The following is a 20900-nucleotide window of genomic DNA, read 5'->3' on the forward strand; positions in this document are numbered from 1 at the left end:
AGTCTTCAGAACAAGATACAATAATATCAAACTGTTTCCAAGTAACTTAACTACATTTCAGAACAAAGTTCCTCACTTACACAGCTACTATAAGTGGCCAGGCATCGTGGCTCATGCCTGTAATCCCAGTACTTTGGGAGGCTGACGTGGGCAGAACACTTGAGCCCAGGAGTTTGAGATCAGCATGGCCAACATGGCAAAACCCCAACTCTACCAAAAACACAAAAAATTAGCAAGCTGTGGTGGCATGCACCTGTGGTCCCAGCTACTCAGGAGGCTGAAGTGGGAGGATCACATGAGCCGGGGAGGCGGAGGTTGCAGTGAGTTGAGATCGCACCATTGCACTCTAGCCTGGGCGACAGAGTGAGACTCTGTCTTAAAAAACAAAACAAAACAAAACAAAAAGAAATACTATAAGTGAGGCACCCAACAAGGGTAAAATCTCACCTGACAAGGTAAAATTCAAAATACCTATTTTCTAATCAAAAGTTTCCAGGCATGCAAAGAAGCACGAAAATACCAGTGATTATGAGGTAAAAAAATCAATCAATCAAAACATATCAAGAACTAACACAAATGTTAGAAGTAGCAGACAAAAACATTGTAAGTGTTGTCATAACTATATTCTATATTTTCACAAAGAGGGAGGACACAGATTGAACGTGTTAGAGACATAATAGAAGATACAAAACAGGCCCAAACAGGCCCCCAGAGATGAAAACTGCAGATGGTAGAAAAACAAAAAAAAAGCAAAAACCACTAGATGAGATTAAAGGCAGATTAGACATGCACAAGATTGGTGAAAGTGAAGACACAGCTATAGACGCTAATCAAAATGAAATACAGCAAGAAAAAAACTGAAAAATAAAGGAACATCCTTCAGCTATAGCCTAAAATACATGTAACTGGAGTCCCTGAAAAGGGAAGCATGAGGGGAAAAGAAAAAATATTTGGAGAAGTAATGGTCAAAAAATTTCCAAATTAGTTGAAAACTATAACCTCCTAGCTCTAAGAAGCATGAAGAAAACTACTCTGAGGCGTATCACAATCAAATTGTTCAAAATCAACAATAAAGACATCTTAAAAGCAGATACAGAAAAAAGACACATTAAAAGATAAGTATGACAGATGACTTGTTGGAAATAATGCAAGTGAGAAGGCAATGGAGCAACATCTTTGAACCTGTGAACCTTTGAAAAGTCATTTTGTATATATATAAAACCAAAAAAAGTGAATAAATGTAAACTTATCCTCTCCCCAAACTGTAAGATAGTCTTTATTAATGATTTTGGGCAGGTCAAAAGTTTTAACATAAAGATTTCATAAATTTTCTAATATTTCAGACTACAGTAAAGTCTTTAATAAGAAACCAAGGCCAATACACAAGTCAAGAAAAAAAAAGTACAATACCTAATTTTGTCTTAAGAGTCTTTACATTTTCAAGTTCTTGTTCCAACTCCATTATGTTGTATTCCACCGATGAAGACAGCCCTGTTCAAAGCAAAAAATATTTAGAAGTAAAACAGAACCCCTAACACTATAGAACAGGTAGCCCTTTAATTAAAATCTAAAATAACACATGGCAAATCCTGCTAATCAAAAATAACAAGAAATGTTGCTGTGATTCAGAGGAAAGCACATCCATATATTTACCAATTAAAACTTCTTGCTGATTAAACACTACACGTTTCCACAGAGTGATATAATGGACTATGGAGAGTCAGAAGGGAGAGGGTTGGGATGGAGGCAAGGGATAAAAAACGACATATTGGGTACAACGTATGCTACTCCAGTGATGGGTACATTAAAATCTCAGATCACACCACTATACATCCATGTAACCCAAAACCACCAGTACCACAAAACCTATTGAAATAAGAATATTAAAAATAAATGCTACATGTTTCCTAGAAAATTTCTTAACGTGGTAAAGTTCTAATTTGATCTATTAATAATCTTTTCTTAATTACAAAAGCAACTTGGGCTTACTATAGAAAGTGAAAAAAATCAAGATCTTCTCTTCTCTATCTCACCTCCTTAAAATGACAATTGTGAACAGCTTGGCTGATGCTTCCATACCTTTCTTCACATTCAGAAGCACATTCACACATACATATGTATCATATGCATGGTTTTTATTACATGTTTTACACGAATGGGGTCAGACCTATTACTTTACCATTTGCTTTCCTAGTCAATTATATGTCCAAGTTGACAGCTGAATAACATTCCATAGTACAGATGTACTACAACTTTATTCCCTTTACACATATTCAAGTTTTCAACTTTTTGCCACTAGAAACAGTGTTGCAATAAACATTCTTGTATGCCCATCCAGTACATTTTGGTTCTAATTATTTCTGTAAGACAGATTCCCAAAACTTAGATTGCTGAGTAGGGTATGAACATTTATAGAAGGTTACTTCCCCCAAATATTGTAATAACTTAAACTATTGTAATAATTTACATTTCTATCAATAGCTTTGAAAGTATCTATTTTCCAGTATCGTCTTCAGCACTGGATGTTATAACTCTTGAATTCTACCAATGTGATGGGTGGAAAATGTTTTCTTCCTGTTACTTTAACATGCATTTCCCTAAATGTGGTTGGACATATTTCTATGCATTTATCACCTGAATTTTCCCTATTCCTGTTTTCTGCTTGTTTCTCTAATGGTGGATCTTCGTATTCTTTATATTTTACCTGTTAAATTCTGAAACAGAGAAATTAAAATACCCACTACAACTGTACTTTAAGTTCTCTCAGTTTTTAAGAGTGGTGTTTTTTTTTTTTTCATTATGCAATTGTATTTGACTGCTGAGACTGGGAGGTTCTGTTTGCTAGGGTTTTTTTGTTTTTGTTTTTGTTTTTCATCCTAGACTGTTACATCTTCCTTATGAATCATATATTTTATCATTTCATAATGACCCTGTTTGTTTCTAATGCCTTTCAACTTAAATTCTGTTTTGTGGATTTTAAGTTCTGCTTTCTTTTTGTTTTTACCTATCTTGCTTGCTTACTTACATACATTTATACACACACCTTTCATTTTAATCTTTCTTTTTCTCTTATCCAGCTGAATCTTATTGGAGGTTTCAACTGTATCAGTTAGAGTTCATTGGCTATAGGCAACTGAAATAGACTCACTAGTTAAAACAGAAAAGGAATTCGTAAGATAGAACCAGTAGGAAAATTTTCCAGTAAAGAAAGTAGAGCAAATGGGTAGCGAAGAGGTCCAGGTGGCAGAACAGATGGACAGTTTCCTCATATTGTAATAGCTGGGATGACTCAGTCCCGAGTACTCCCAGTCTGTATGTCACTATGAGGAAGAATAAAAGTCTAGGAAGCAGACGTCCTAATGGCATAGCTTAGAGTCACATGTCAGTTTCTTGGAGAGCCGTGAACTTTGATGAGCAGTTCTGCCAATCTCATCTAACCGGGGAAATCCGCAAATCCAAATCAGGTACTTTACTAGAAGAAAGGGCAATAGATGCTTGTAGCAAAAATGATAAATACAGGTTGAATAATCCAATCTGATAAACTGTTCTTTAACAGTCAAATTCAGCCCATTTACACTTAGTAAAATATAGAGCTTGCATTCATTATTTAGTATAATAGCTGATAAACTTTATTTTATACTTTCTATACTACTTAAGTGATTTTTTTAAAGGTTTTATCTTTATCAAGATGAAGCATGCACATAGCTCAAAGTGTCAAACACATACGTGGGTTTGCTATCATGTCTCCTCCCTCCTGAATCCATTTTCCCAAAAGTAGCTGTCCAGCTTGTTCTTCTGGCACTTGTCTTCCTGTTGCAACTTCTGGATTTCCCGCACAAAGCATTCCCACTGTGGCAGGTGAGGACACAAGTGTCTGAGCCACACACCTCTTCACTCCTCCCTTTCTCTCAATATGGCCATAATGCTCATTTTAGCTAGATTGATATTCAATGTCTACATTATTATAACAACCAAAATGCCTATCCACATAGCAAACTATGACCAGCTTTCCTTCTTTCCTTAACATTCTTCCCACCCCTAGAATTAGCAATAATTTTTCTTTTACTTAATTTTCTATGTACTTAACACAAATTCAAACCCAAAACATCCTGCCAAAGGTCTTTATTTTCTCCTGGTTTTTCTATTCCTCAGTTATACTATCAACTTCACTCTCTTGAAGAAATTTCCCCCAGTGTCTTTAGACCTGCCCACCCCAGATGGACTGCCCTCTGTGCCTCCTGCACCCTTTCACCCCGGGACTGCCTGCCCGCGTCTCCTGTGGAGCATCTCTTGTTTCCTACGCAGCCCGTATCTTTTCTTGATTTACTCCCTTGCTTCGATGGTGTGTATCCTCCAGTGGCTTGCTAAGAAAAGGTGAATGTGAGGTAAATTTTTAAAGACTATACAAGTCTGAATACTGTACCTTTGCTCTTACATTATAGTTTGATTAAGTATAAAAAATCAAGGTCAAAACTAATTCTCCTTCAGAATTCTGAAGGCATTGCTTCATTGTCTTCCTGCTTCTAGATTTGCTTTTGAGAAGTCTGAAGCTATTCTTATTCCTGTCTTTTTGAATGTGAGCTGCTTGTCATTTCCCTTTTAAACTATGTAGGATCTTTGTCCCCAGTGTTCTTGATGAGAGTCCATTTTCATGTACTGTGTTGGGCACTAGATGATCCCTTTCAATCTCCAAATTCATGTCCTTTAGATCTGGGAAATCTTCATTTTGTCATTTCCTCCACCACATTTTCTCTCCTCAATTTGGAACTCCTCTAAGTTGGACACTGGATCTCCTGAGCTGGTTCTCTAATATTCTTAACTATTCTCTCCTATTTTACCTATTTTTGCCATTTTGACCTATCTTCTGTAAAAGTTCTTTATCTTCTAATCTTTTTGCTATGTTATTTCTAAATTTCAAGGATCCTTTTCTGCTCACTGAATATCCCATTTTTATGGAACCTGGTCTTTCTCATGAATGTCATCTCTATCTCTGCCAGGATATTGACGGATTTGTTTTGAGACATTCTTCTCCCATGCATATTTCATCTCCTCCAAGCTCTCCTGTTTGATGCATATGGGAGGCTTTCCTTGGATATGTGGTGAGCCTTAGTTGTCTGCTCATATTTAAGACTGAAGCAGTAGGAGGGCGGAGCAAGATGACCAAATAGAAGCCTCTACCGATTGTCCCTGCTGCAGAAGCACCAAATTTTAACAACTACATACAAAATAGCACTGTCATGAGAACTAAAAACCAGGTGAGCACTCACAGTACCTGGTTTTAACTTCATACACCTGAAAGAGGCACTGAAGAGGGTAGAAAAGACAGCCTTGAACTGCCGATGCCAACCCCTCTTCCATCCCCCAGCAGCGGCCGTGTAGTGTGGAGAGAGAATCTGTGTACTTGGGGGAGGGAGAGCACAACAAATGGGGGACATAGAATTGCACCAATGCTGCCCTGTCACAGCAGACAGTAAAGCTGTGCTGGGCTCAACCACTGCATGCCCACAGAAGGAGCATGTGGACCAGCCCTAGCCAGAAAGAAATTCCCCATCCCAGTGGTCAAAACTTGAGCTTCTCAGCAAGCCTCACCACAACGGGCTACAGTGCTCTGGGGTCCTAAGTAAACTTGAAAAGCAGTCTAGGACACAAGAACTGCAATTCCTAGGCAAGTCCTGCTGCTGGGCTGGGCTTAGAGCCAGTGGACTAGGGCAGCATGTACCAGACACAGTGGCTAAGGGAGAGGTTGCACCACCTCTCCACCAACCCCAGGCAGCAGAGCTCACAGCAAGGAAAGTGACTCCTTCCTTCTGCTCGAAGAGAGGAAAGTAAAGAGAACTTTGTCTTGCATTTTGGATACCAGCTCAGCCACAGTACAATAGGGTACTGGGCACAGTCATGAGGGCCCCATTCTAGGCCCTAGCTTCTGGATGACATTTCTAGACACACCCTGGGCCAGAAGGGAACCTGCTACCTTGAAGTGGGGGACTCAGTTCTGGGAGGATCCATCACCTACTGACTAAAGAGCCCTTGGGCCCCAAAGATCCAGGAGTGACATATAGCTAGTATGCCATGGGCCTTGCTTGGGAAGACTCTGAGACATGCTGGCTTCAGGTCTGATGCAGCATATTCCCAGCTGTGGTGGCTACACTGAAAGACTCCTTCTGCTTGAGAAAAGCAGAAGGAAAAGTAAAGAGTACTTTGTCTTGCAGCTTAGGTACTAGCTTGGCCACAGTGGGGTAGAGTATCAGGTGGGCTCTTGGGGCCCCCGAAACCAGGCCTAGGCTATTGAACAGCATTTCTAGACCTGCCCTGGGACAGAGGGGAGCCCACTACCCTGTAGGGTGAGTCCCAGGCCTGGCAACATTCACTACAAGCTGACTGCAGAGCCTCTGGACATTAAGTGACCACTGGCAGTGGCCTGGCAGAACTCCCCATGGGCTGGCAGTGGCAGGAGCAGGGAAGAATAGGAAGGTCTTTGTCTTATGGTTTGAGGGTCAGTTTAGCTGCAGTAAAACAGAACACCAACTAGATTTCTAAAGTTTCTGACTTCAAACTCTGCCTCCCAGACAGCATCTCTGGACCTGCCCTGGGTCTGAGGGAACTTTTCACCCTGAAGGTTAGGACACAAACCTGGCTGGCTTCCCCCACTACTAATCGTAGAGCCCTAGGGCCTTGAGAGAACACAGGCAGTAGCCAAGCAGTGTTTACAGTGGGCTTTGAGTGAGACGTAGTGCCGTGCTGGCCTCAGGTCTCACCCAGCGTAGTCCCAGTGTTGGTGGCCACAGGAGTGCTTGCATCACCCCAACTCAGCTCTAGGAAGCTCAGCACACAGAGATGCCATTTGTTTGGAGAAAGTAAGGGAAGAAAACAAGAGTCTCTTCCTGGTAATCCAGAGAATTCTTCTGGATCTTATCTAAACCCACTGAGGCATTCGTCTGCAAGAACCACAGCATTATTGGGCTTGAGGGCCGAGTTCCTTTGAATATCCGGAAAGCCTTCCCAAGAAAGACAGGCACATACAAGCCCAGACTGTGAAGACTACAATAAATACTTAACTCTTCAATGCCCAGACACTGACGAATATCCACAAGCGTCAAGACCATCCAGGAAAACATGACCTCACCAAACAAACTAAATGAGGCACCAGGGACCAATCCTGGAGAAAGAGAAATATATAACCTTTCAGACAGAATTCAAAATGGCTGTTTTGAGGAAACTCAAAGAAATTCAAGATAATACAGAGAAGAAATTCAGAATTTTATCAGATAAATTTAACAAAGAGATTGAAATAATAAAAAAGAATCAAGCAGAAATTGTAGAGTTGAAAAATGCAACTGACAAACTGAAGAATGCATCAGTCTCTTAATAGCAGAACTGATCAAGCAGAAGAAAGAACTGGTGAGCTTGAAGACAGGCTGTTTGAAAATACATAGTGGAGACAAAAGAAAAAAGAATCAAAAAGAATGAAGCATGCCTACGATAGCTAGAAAATAGCCTAAAAGGAGCAAATCTAAGAGTTATTGGCAGCAAAGAGGAGGCAGAGAAAGAGAGAGAGGTAGGAAGTTTATTCAAAGGGAGAATATTAGAGAACTTCCCAAACCTACAGAAAGATATCAACATTTAAGAACAAGAAGGTTATAGAACACCAAGTAGATTTAACTCAAAGACAACTACCTCAAATAATCAAACTCTCAAAGGTCAAGGATAAAGAAAGGATCCCAAAAGCAGCAAGAGAAAAGAAACAAGTAACATCCAATGGCGCTCCAATCCACCTGGCAGCAGACTTTTCAGTGGAAACCTTGCAGGCCAGGAGAGAGTGGCATGACATGTATAAAGTGCTGAGGGAAAAACACTTACACCCTAGAATAGTATATCTGGTGAAAATATCCTTCAAGCATGAAGGAGAAATAAAGACTTTCCCAGACAAACAAAAGCTGAGGCATTTCATCAACACTAGACTTGTCCTACAAGAAATGCTAAAGGGAGTTCTTCAATAGGAAAGAAAAGAATGTTAATGAGCCATAAGAAATCACCTGAAGATACACAAACTCACTGGTAATATAAGTAAACACAGAAAAACACAGAATATTATAACACTGTAATTACGGTGTGTAAACTACTCTTATCGTAAGTAGAAAGATTAAATGACGAACCAATCAAAAATAATAACTACAACAACTTTTCAAGACATAGACAGTACAGTAAGACATAAAAAGAAACAACAAAAAGTTTAAAAGTGTGGGGACGAAGTTAAAGTGTAGAGTCTGTATTAGTTTTCTTTTTGCTTGTTTGTTTTTGCAATGTGTTAAGTTGCCCTCAGTTTAAAATATGGGTTATAGGATAGTATTTGCATGCCTCATGATAACATCAAATTGAAGAACATACAATGGATACTCAAAAAATAAAAAGCAAGAAATTAAATCCTACAACCAGAGAAAATAACTTTCACTAAAAGGAAGACAGGAAGGAAAGAAGAGAAGACTATACAAAACAACCAGAAAAGAAGTAACAAAATGGCAGGAGGAAGTCCTTACTTATCAATAATAACACTGATCGTAAATGAACTAAACTCTCCAATCAAAAGACATAGTGATTCAATGGATAAAAAAGCAAAACCCAATTATCTGTTGCCTAAAAGAAATACACGTTACCTATACAGATACGAATAGATTGAAAATAAAGGCATAGAAAAAGATATTCCATGCTAATGCAAACAAGAAAAGTACAGGAGTAGCTATACTTATATCAGACAAAATAGATTTCAAGACAAGAAATGTAAGAAGAGACACAGAAGGTCACTACATGATGATAAAGGGGTCAATTCTGCAAAAGGGTATAACAATTGTAAAGATATATGCACCAATGGAGCATCCAGATATATAAAGCAAATATTATTAAAGCTAAAGAGAAATACCTCAATACAATAACAGCTAGAGACTTCAACACCCCACTTTCAGCATTGGATAGATCTTCCAATAACAGAAAATCAAAAAGAAACATCAAACTTAATCTGTACTGTACAACAAATGGACCTAATAGATATTTACAGAACATTTCATCTAATGGATATCAGAATAAACATCCTTCTCCTCAGCACAAGGATCATTCTCAAGGACAGACCATATGTTAGGTCACAACAGAAGTCTTAAAACATTCAAAAAATTGAAATAATGTCAAGTATCTTCTCTGGCCATAATGGAATAAAACAAAAAATCAACAAGAGGAATTTTCAAAACTATACAAACACATGGAAATTAAACAAAATGCTCCTGAATCACCAGTGGGTCAATGAAGAAATTAAGGGGTAAATTGAAAACTTTATTGAAACAAATGATAATGGAAGCACAACATACCAAAACCTACAGGATGCAGCAAAAGCAGTACTAAGAGGGAAGTTTATAGCTACAGGTGTCTATATAAAAAAAGAGAAAAAACTTCAAATAATCTAATGATGCATCTTAAAGAATTAGAAAAGCAAGATTAAACCAAACCCAAAATTAATAAAAGAAATAATAAAGATCAAAGCAGAAATAAATAAAATTGAAATGAGGAATACAAAAGATCAATGAAACAAAAAGTTGTTTTGAAAAGTTGACAAAACTTTAGCCAGACCAAGAAAAAAAAGAGAAGATCCAAATAAAATCAGAGATGAAAAAGAAGACATTACAACTGACATCACAGAAATTCAAAGGATGGTTAGTAGTTACTGTGAGTAATTACATGTCAATACACTGGAAAATCTAGAAAAAAATGGACAAATTTCTAGACACATACAACCTACCAAGATTGAACCACGAAGAAATCTAAAACCTAAACAGACCATTAATAAGTAACGAGATCAAACCTGTAATAAAAAGTTTCCCAATAAAGAAAACCTCAGGACCTGGTGGCTTCACTGCTGAAGTCTACCAAACATTTAAAAAAGAACTAATACCAATCCTATTCAAACTACTCTGAAAAACAGAGGAGGAGGAAATACTTCCAAACTCTTGTTAAGGGGCCAGTAATACCCTGATACCAAGACACATCAAAGAAAGCAAACTACAGACCAACATCTCTGATGAATATTGATGCAAAAGTCCTCAACAAAATACTAGCAAACCGAATTCAACAACACATTAAAAAGATCATTCATGATGAAGTTGGATTTATCCGAGATGCAAGGGTGGTTCAACATATTCAAATCAACCAATGTGATACATCATATCAATGGAATGAAGGACAAAAACCATATGATCATTTCATTTGATACTGAAAAGCATTTGATAAAATTCAACATCCCTTCATGATACAAACCTTTAGAAAATTGGTACCTTGGATGGAGCGAAAAGATGTGGCAATCAAACCATTATATAAACAGGATTTCCAATCAATTCTCTTATGAAGTAGCTCACTCTACTTCGTCTGGTGGTGCCACTTTTTGGGACTTTTGGGGATTCTGGGGTATAAATTTATAAATCAAGCACAAATGACTTACGATTTAGCTTCCTTGGGTCTGTGAAACTGGTTACTTAAGTCCGCTAAATTTTCTCAGGTCTTCTAAATTCCAAAATTTTATTGTGATTTTCTCCTCTCAACTTCTCATCTTTTTAGGTTTATGCCTCTCTGAACCTCAGTGTTTTCATCCGTAAAAGGGGGTGTATCTATTAGGACACTATATACTGAATCAGAAAACTAAACTCAAAGTAGCTTAAAAATGAGGAAATAATTTCATATAATGAGAAGTTTAGACACAGAGCAAACTTCAAAGAGGATTTTCCAGCAGCTCAACAGTGACATCAAGGGACTAAAAGTACTGCCATCCTCAAGTTGACAGGAAGACTGGTGCTCTTTCTCTTTTTATGTAACTCTGTAATTTCTGCTCATTATATTTGTTCTTTATTTCTTCATTTTCTTCTTTCCCAGCTAGTGAAACTTTAGTTTATCCTTTTTGCCCATGTTAATTTGGCAGTTCAATGGTTACTTTCACATTTTTAATACTCATACTTAGATATACTTTTCATTATAATATCAGCATCACACAGTCCTAGCCCTACAGGGATGCTTTTCTGAGTAACTTACCCCACACCAAAGTGAAGCTCTCACAACGCTTTAATCATTCTCTCACTGCTGCCCACCCATGCCCCCAACTCCTGGATCTTGCTGCGACAGTTTTAACAATATTTAGTTCAAGACTGTTACCAAATGTTTCTTTCAATATGGAAGTTAGAATAGTGCTTGGCACAAATTAGGTGCTCAATATACAGATATAAAACGAACAAATGAGGGAATGCATAACAGATGAATGACATCTTTGGGAATATATGAATTTTTTTTTTAAGAGACAGGGTCTCACTTTATATTACTGCCCAGGCTGGACTCGAACTTCTGGGCTCGAGCGTATACTCCCACCTCCCGAGTAGCTGGGACTACAGGTGCGTGCCGCCACACTCAGCTGAGTTTTCAACTGCAGTCTTTATTCCTCCCTTACAACTATGGGTACTATTCAGCAACCAGTAGCAGGTTGCAAATGGGAAGCTTGATGTTGATCTCTCTCTTCTTTGTCTGGAATTTTTCTATGTGAAAGTTTGTAAGGGCTTTTTTTTTTTTCCATTGTTCTTGGAATTCAGGAATCTTACAAACTAAATCCAAATCTTTTTGATTTTCTATTGAATAATCTTGCCTAGGAGTGTGTGGCCTTTTAACCTGAACTCAAGTCTTTCTTAAGCTCATTGATATTTTCTTCTATTTTTTATTTACCTACTTTTCCTACTTGTTCTTTTCTCTCCTTTTAGATGCCTATTATTTACATTCAGTATCTTAGCTCTGCACTTCACGTCTATTTTTCATTAATACTTTCCTTCTTTTTGTACTTTTGGTGTGTGACACAAAATAGTTCTTCCCCTTGATTCTGCAAGATGATTAATTCAATTTTTGAAGGACTATATTAGTATGCTATTGCTGCTGCTGCTGCTACAAATTATCATAAAGTTTCTGGCTTAAAACAACATAAATTTATTGTCTTACAGCTCTGGAAGTGAGAAGTCCTAAAATCAAAGTGTTAGCAGGACTATAATCCTTCTGGAGACTCTAGGGGAGAAATCATTTCCTTGTCTTTTCTAGCCCTTGAGGGCCACCTGCATTCTTTGGCTCATGGTCCCTTCCTTGAGTCACTCCGACCTCTTCTTCCATTACCAATGTCTCCTTCTCTGACCATCTCAGCCTTCACTTATACCAACTCTTGTGAGTACAGTGGGCCCACTACATAATCCAGAATAATCTCAAGATCCTTTACTTCATCCCATATGCAAAGTCACCTTTGCCATGTAAGGTAACATATTCACAAGGTCTGGGGATTAGGACTTGGACATCTTTAGGAAACCATTATTCTGACTACCACAAAGACTATTTCTTTTTTTGTTTGTCTATTAAGCTTTTTATTTTTTTCAAGTTCTCAGCATCAGTCTTTTTCTGTTCTAATGACATTTCCTTGGACATTCTTACTACTTTTGAGGATTAGGTATGAATTCTTATTTGTCTCTCCCATTAATTGTTAACTCAAGTGGGAACCACTTGTTCTAGATATCTATCTTGGTCTTCTTCACTGAACCTTAAACAACTGGTAATTTTTCTCTATCCACCTCTGTTGTTCCCTTCATCTCTAATCAGGTCAGACACTCCCTCAAACAGTGACAAACCAGCTAAAAGGTACAGCAATTCAATTATGTTCCTAGGGGCTAGGGACCAACTGGCCAGAAAAACTGATTTAGGAGGAGGAAACCTCGCTGGGTCTCTCTAGGTGCAAAGAGTGGTCCTTTCTCAAAGGGAGAGACTGAAAGGAGGATTCAGAACAACAACGCAAGGCCAGCAAGATCAGACAAACCTTTGCAACACAGGGGCAAATGCAATCTCACTAAGGGAATTCAGAGGCCTCTTTTTCTAAGCCCCTTTGGGGAATCACAAAATTCCAGTCTTATCCCAGGTTTCTAGGAGAAGTAAATCCCATTCCCTTTGCAGCTCCTTGCTCACTTCTGCCCATCACTGAAGAGACAGCAATCGAATACCCTCTCTTTCAAAGAACCTGAGATCTCAAATCCACTGAAACGTTTTATAGTGTTTTCAGAGTTCATGAGTTTTATCACTTTACTTGTTAATATATAATTGATATATTTATGAGAGGAGGGATAAAGCTAGTACAGAAATATTCAGGTAATGTGACACAAGCTACTAAACTTTGATTACAAAGTTAGTTTTGAGTTTCTGGCAGCCACAGCAAAGGGGGAAGCAATTAAGTTACATAACGAATGAGTATTTCCATATAATGTGATTTACAGAAAGACAGCACAGCTCTGTAAGGTTTTCAGGTGTCTTTGAATCAAAGTTTAAACTACATAATAGTCTTAGTAATAAATATATTTTACTTTTATCTCCATTCTTTATCAATTAAACTGTGTATCTGTAATTAATGCTCATTTAACTTGTATATCTCATTGACTGGAAATACAATTCCAAACTACATTCATTCCCCATTCATGCAAAGATTTATTATTCTGGTAACCAGCTGAAGGGTAGAAAAAATAAGCTCATGAGTATTTAGAATTTCAAAAGAGAATGGACATCAGAATAGAAAGTATTCCTGATGCCAATTTGAAATTAAGTGAAAAGACAAAAATGCCTACTTTGTGGGTATGTTTACAGAGCTCAATACAAATGTCTAGACCACTCAATGTATGATTCTTCAAAGGAAAATAACTAAAATGGCATTTCTGAAATGCTGTGCTTCTATTTGCAGGTGATATAACACTAGGCACACAATAGGTAATTAATAAATACTGACTGACTTGCATATAAAAATCAAAACTACATTCTTGTTGTCCTCAAATAAATCATACTTTTATTAAATGACTAGATTCATCTGAGATGACACATTATTCAAGGACAAGACCACTCTTTATTATAATAGAGCAATACCTAAGGGAGAAATGTAAGCTTTTTTGAGTAAATATTTCATTATAAATGACCAGAAGGAAACAATGACTATCGTAAGAAATTATGACATACTGCAAACAAATACTGAGGCATTATGTGGATTTAAGTTATACCAAAAATTTAAAATATCCCGAGGAACTGCATTATCATTACTTTATTTCCAAATGAATCTAAAATGTCCAGTGTCAGCATTGTCTAGTCAATAAGTCAAACTGGTAGACAAAACCTGTTTAGACAAGTCACAAGAAATAAAAAGGGATTCTCCAAGAAAACCACAAAGCAGCTCATTTAAGGTCAATTTAATGGTATTATTCTGTTTTTCTTCCAGCCCCAACATAAGATTTCACTACCTCAAAGGAAATTGTAAGAGTATCTATTTGCATTCCCCTTAGGTGATTGGCAGTTCAACACCAATTAGTTCAAAATTACACTGTTAACTAACATGCAATAAAAACAACACCTTTCATCTTTCTTACATAGGTAAGAATAACTTCAGAGCCAATAACTTTGATCAAGTAAGTATTTTTGATCCTGCCCCACCCGTCTCTTTGGATTCAGGAAAACTAATAGCTGAAGGCAACTTTTCCCAGCTTTATTCTTAAGCTGAAAAACTAGTGTGGTATTAAAAATATTTTGCTTCCAAGATAACAGAATTTCCCAAAGTCCAGTATTTATTCAATAACTAAGCTGTCCTTACAACTTTCTTAATATATAAGACAGCCTTCATATATAAAAGGAGAGGTACTAAGTATTTAACTTAAAATATAAAATGTATTTTTAAAAACAAATACAAATTTCCAATTAGATCTGCAAGCCCTTCAAATAATTGATGAAATACAATTATCTCCCTAAACAATTCAGTGTCCTAAACTTAGTCTCATAATGAGTACTATTTGGAAGTAGATACCTCTAACATAAACAGATTGATGTTACATTTAACTTTTAATTTACCATATAACCAAAAAAAAGTTTGATTAGAAAATATTATCCAAGAAGCTCTTTAAAAATTTGATTATACTTATTACTTTAAATTTGACCAAAGTGATCTCTATCACAAAGAATGTGAGGTCACTCAAATACTATAAATTATTTCTAATCACTTAGGCAAACAACTTTGTTGTTAAAGCCCAAATCTCCTAATAATTCACAGAGCAAACAGTTTCCATCTCTCTAAGCAAACACTACTTACTGTACACCACAGAGCCAATGCTGATTAGGCAAACTCCAGAAAGCATTTGAAAACTGAAGCCAGGACATTCAAATCTCTAATGTATCTATTTCAGCATGAACTAACACTGTTACTATCTACAAAGGAGAGAGTCAGCCCATATACTCGAAAACTCTGTATCTATGTCTATTCCACTTGCAATGCTAATAATTATTAAAATAATAGTTTCTTTTTACTTCTGACATATCCACAAAAATATGGCTATTGACCTAGTAATGTGAGACTTTTGAGATCCAACAAAACTGTGAAAATGCAAATATGCTTTCATTACTAATGACTGCAAGATAGAAATTGTTAAATAATCAACTTTAGGAACATTATATAATGCTAGGTACAATTAAAACAATGGTTTGGCTTTTTTCTACTTTAGATATAAGCTACTAGATCTAAACTAGATAAGATGTTAAGATAATTTTTAAACTTTTATGTTTATATAAGCTACTATTGGGAATACCATCACCTATCTAAGTTGTAGTTGAGAAAGTAGCTCGGGTATATTAAATTCATCTTCTACTACACAAATTTGGATTTTTTTTTCTTTATTGAGGCGGAGTCTTGCTCTGTTGCCCAGGCTGTAGTGCACTGGCATGATCTCGGCTCATTGCGACCTCTGCTGCCCAGGTTCAAGTGATTCTCCTGCCTCAGCCTCCCGAGTAGCTGGGATTACATGCGCATGCCACCACGCCCAGCTAATTTTTGTATTTTTAGTAGAGACGGTGTTTCACCATGTTGGCCAGGCTGGTCTTGAACTCCTTACCTCAGGTGATCTGCCCACCTCAGCCTCCCAAAGTGTTGGGATTACAGGCGTGAGCCACTGCACCCAGCCAATTTGGATCATTTTTATAGAATAACTCTCTCTATATATATATTTCATAAAATATATGATATTTAACTCATTCTATAGTTCATTATTCCTAAGCATTCCTCATTTACTGATTTTATATTAGCATATATCTCTGGCAGTCACCTCATTTCATCTTGCAAAAAAATAATTTCTATGGGCCACATTTTATTGTCATAAATTGTGAATAACGGCCCAAGAAGCTGAATAAATTATAACAAGGAATTTCTGACCATTTCAGATCCTTGGACACAAATGTTTTTTGATTATATTTGATCACTTTCACGCTAATACCAGACATTTCTCAAAGTGGCCCAGAGTCTGATAAATTCAAAATATTCTCCCTTCAGTGACGTAACTAACAGCAAATAGTATTTGTAGGATTGTCATTGCCAGAACCTAGAAGAATGCCTAGAGAAAGCCAAGATGAAAGTAATTTAGAGGACAGAAGAGAATCTGGCATGAGCTTCCATATATCAAGTGTGTTATATGAAAGAATGTAATGACCAAATTAGCAAATCACCTTGCCAATGATAACTGAAAATGTCTCTGACAGACTACTACTCTGAGATAGTCTAAAGAAGCAACTGCTCTAAAAAAGCAACCATAAATGCCACCCTAAACCTTGGCACCTTCATAAAATTCCCTGGCAAATTCAACTTGGTTATAAACAGCAAAATTCAAGGACTGATGATGACACTAAGTGCTTCTGACAGGTCACAAATTCTACAAAAAGCTTGTATAAGACATGTCTTGTTTTTTTTCAATCCCTTTATTTTTATTTTTTAGGATAAAAAGGTATTCCAATCTGACACCCAGCAAAAATGAAACAACAATATAATCTGTGCTTTTAAGAATAAATAATTAATACAAGCTTCAATGGCAAGGACTTTTTCGTTTTTTTTAGATGGAGTCTCGCTCTGTTGCCCAGGCTGGGGTGCAATGGCGTGATCTCGGCTCACTGCAACCTCCCCCTCCCAGGTTCAAGCGATTCTCCTGCCCCAGCTTCCCAAGTAGCTGGGATTACAGGCACCTGCCACCACACCCCCTAATTTTTGTATTTTTAATAGAGACCGGGTTTCACCATGCTGGCCAGGTGGGTCTTGAACTCCCAACCTCAGGTGATCTGCCTGCCTCGGCCTCCCAAAGTGCTGGGATTACAGGTGTGAACCACTGAAAAGATGAGAATCAAGCAGGAAAGTAACTGCCATAAGAAATGATACACTAACTTTTTATCATGAAGATGAAAATCGTATCTAAAGAAACTGAGTTGAATTATTAAGTTCAAAGACTATGATATTTTAAAATAAATTAAAAGAACTCCGGAGGTTTTGAACTTAAACAACAAAAAATAATTTCTCTTCATTATGGTACTACTTCCAAAGTTACCCAGTACACCCATAGGCTATACACACACAAAAGCTGATTATTTCAATTAATGCCGTTGCATTACTTAAACATTTAAACATGTTAAGTGTGCGTGTGTGTGTGTACGTGTGTGTGTGTGTGTGTATCCTCTTAATGCTAGGAAGGAATTACAAAAGATTTTCTACCACAATTAATGTAATGGGACTTTCTGTTGGGCTACTCTTTAGGAGTCTTGGAGTAGAAATGGTTCTTGATTACTCATATTCCATGGCCATAACAGTAAGGGGAAAACTGCCTTATTTCGGCCTCTTCACTAACACTCCAGTGCACGTGGTCTTCCTGCCTCTCAACGTTGGTGTGTCCTTGGCAGTCTCCACTATGGGCCTTCCTAAGAAATCTCTCCAAGTGATTCTGTCCGGTCTTGTCACCAAATTTTACTTCCTCTTCCTTTTTCACTTCTATGGTAAAATGACAACTCTCCATCATGTGCGTTTTTCATCTATTAATTTACTTATGGGACAAATGTTTACCACATATCCACCATGTGTCTAGCAACATTATAGAATCAGGGTACAGAGGGAAAGAAAACTAACAAAAATCGCTGCCCCAATAAGGTGCGGTGGCTCCCACCTGTAATTTACAAAAATCCCTGCCCCAGTTAGGTGCAGTGGCTCACACCTGTAATTTTAACACTATGGGAGGCCAAGGCTGGCAGATCGCTTAAGCCCAGGAGTTTGAGACCAGCCTGGGCAATATGGCAAAACCTTGTCTCTACAAAAAACACAAAAATTAGCCGGGTATGGTGGTGGGCGCCTGTAGTCTTAGCTACTCAAGAGGCTAAAGGGGAACGATCACCTGAGCCCGGGAGGTTGAGGCCACAGTGAGCCGTGATTGTGTCACTGCACTCCAGCCTGGGTGACAGAGTGAGACCTTGTCTCAATAAATATAATTAAATAAATAAATCCCTGGAGTTCATGTTCTAGTGTGGAGAGACAGGCAATATACTAAAAGACTTAACATGTGAGACAGTAAAAAATGCTATAGAAAAAAATAATGCAGGAAAGGGGAAGCGTAGAGCAGAGGTAGGGCTTAGTGATACAATCGATATCCACAAGGCTCACTCCAGAGTGGGGGAAAGCTCCACGAAAGGGTATTTAGGTAAAGACCTGGAAGAGAGAAGGTGGAGGAAAACACAATAAAAATGCCCCAAGGGAAGGGGCTCAGTGGGGGAAGAGCAAAGAGACAGCAGGCATCAGACATGGGGCAGGAGTGAGCAGCCACTGCAAGGACTCTTGCTGTTATCCAGACTGAAACAGAAACCATCATCTGAGGACTTGGAGCAAATAAGTGGGAAGATCTGACTCATATTGTCAGAGACTCTCTCTGACTCACTAGGCCCAAGACAGATACGCACGGAAGCCATTAGGAAGCTACCGCAAAAACCTCTCCAAGGGGTGGTGGTAGCACAGGTGGTGAGGCACAGTCAGATTCTGGAGCTACTCTGAAGCTGGAGCCAACAGCTTTGCAGAAGGAATCCATATGGGAATTAAGAGAAAGAGACTCCAAGGATTTGGCCTGAGTAGCTGGAAGAATGATTTGTCACCTGTAGAGAAGGGCCGATGGCAAAAGCAGCAAAATCTAGAAGTAAAGATCTTGAGTTTACTTTGGACATATGTTTAAGATGCCTATTGGACATCCAAATGGAAATTTCCACTAGACAGTTAGATCTTTAAGTTCAAAGCTCAGAGTAGAGGTCGCAGCTTATAGGTGGTATTTAAAGCCATGAAACCAGATGAACTAATAAGGGAGTAAAAGCAAATAGAGAATTTTAAAGACGGAGGCATGAGACTTTCCAGGTGAAGAAGTTATAGACACAGAAAAGCCAGAAAAGTGGATTGAGAAAAAGCAGCCCGTTAAATAAAAGGAACAGGAAAGTATGGTGAACTGAAAACCAAGTGGAATAAAAGACATTTCGAGGAGGAAAGAGAGGAAGATAAGGACTACGAAGTCACAGACCAACCTGACCATGGCATTTCATAGAACAGTGGAAGCAAGAGTGAGTTTCAAAACAAAATGTGAAACCCATGAGCACACAACTCTTGTGAGCTTTGCCATAAAGACCAAAGGAATGGGTGGTGACCTGGAGGGGATATGGGGTCAAGGCAGATTCCTTCTTCTGTCTCTTTCTGGGAAAATTATAGCATATCTTTATGCTGATGGAAAGGATACAGTTGGGGAAAAACTGGATCATGACAGAGACAGAGAGTCAGAAAGAGGAGAATTGCTAGATCGTGTCCTTGAATCAGTGAGAAGAGATGGAATCCAGGGCACTAGGGGAGCGCTGGCATTAGCCAGGCACACAGACAATTCAGCCACAGCATCGAAGGAAAAGGCAGCTGTGAGGGGAGCTGCAGGGAGGAGGGTTGGCATGAAGGAAAAAGCTTGTGAAAATTCTCTTATGATTGCTTCTGTTTTCTTAAGAAAATAGAAAACAAGGTCACCAGTGGAGAGTAAGGTGAAGATCTGAGGGAAGAAAAGACAGAATAAAGTCATCCAGGAGAATGTAAAGTTAATTTAGGATATTGGTCACATATATAAAGGAAGGCCAGGCAAGAGGGTCAGTCAGCCAGCTAGGAGTGAGAGCACAGAACAGGGAGAGGCTAGCAGAATGAAGGCTCGGGTTTCAGCACAATCCAGTGAGACCACAAAAGGGAGCTAAGAGTGTACGCAGGGGACTGATTCTAACAACAGTCCAGGAATGTAAACTGTGCAAGGAAGTAGGGGGATGGGGAAATGATGGGGGGTGAGAAAAAGGTGTTAGGATCAGGGTATGTTAAATCTCCATACTGAGGAATTGTAGGAAATGGGAGTGCTAGAAGAAGTGAACTGGAAAAAGGAGAAGTGGTAGGTGGAGAGTAGGATGCTTGATTGTAAGATTATGCAAAAGAACTTGGATGGGTTATGTCACAGGCACGAGCGGGTGAGGCAGACAACCACAGGGACAGGCAAGGAGTGTCCTGGAGTGATGGGAAGGACATGCACACAGACACCAAATCACCACGAAAAAGGCACAGAATCAGAGAAGGATTAGAAACGAGGAGCAAAAATCCTCCAGAAGGGAGCAGAAAAGGCCTGGGAGGTGAGCAAATGACAGGACTAGGTCATGGTCTGATGACATGAGATCCAAAGTGCTGGAGAGTAGTAAAAGGGAACAGGAGGGCACCTACTCAAACTCCAGGACCAGCCAAATGAGGGATGTGGGTAGAAGCGAGCCATCACATGAGCGGGTGGCAGGAATGTGTGCCAAGTTTCTTTGAGCAAGAAAGTGGCAGTTGAAGATACAGGGGTTTTGTTCATGAGTTAATTCTCAGTTCCAAATGGCACAAGCAGAAAGTTTCAGAAGCTAGAGGAAAGTGGAAAATCAGGTCAGAAATGGGATGTATAGAGACACAGGGCGCAAGGAACCTGGATGTTCTGGGCTCCATGTGCTGACCA

At 38.5% G+C, this 20900-nt stretch overlaps 1 protein-coding gene across 28 annotated transcripts in view; it reads right to left on the reverse strand.

Moving 5' to 3' along the window:
* LMBR1 (limb development membrane protein 1) overlaps positions 1-20900 on the reverse strand; it is a 224172-nt gene that overhangs the window by 63755 nt on the left and 139517 nt on the right. For 21 of the 28 annotated variants that reach the window (XR_007060137.1, XR_007060136.1, XR_007060135.1 and 18 more), the window contains one exon: positions 1411-1491. Coding sequence is in view for 18 of the 28 variants with exons in the window: in NM_001363412.2 (NP_001350341.1) it covers positions 1411-1491 (81 nt within the window). In the remaining 10 variants the exon portion in view is untranslated. Of the gene's footprint in view, positions 1-1410; positions 1492-3726; positions 3850-20900 lie in introns of all 28 variants that reach the window. The other 7 variants (XR_007060131.1, XR_007060130.1, XR_007060132.1 and 4 more) reach the window with 1 other exon arrangement.

The sequence above is a fragment of the Homo sapiens genome, chromosome 7 (assembly GCF_000001405.40).
Source record: "Homo sapiens chromosome 7, GRCh38.p14 Primary Assembly".
NCBI lineage: Eukaryota > Metazoa > Chordata > Mammalia > Primates > Hominidae > Homo > Homo sapiens.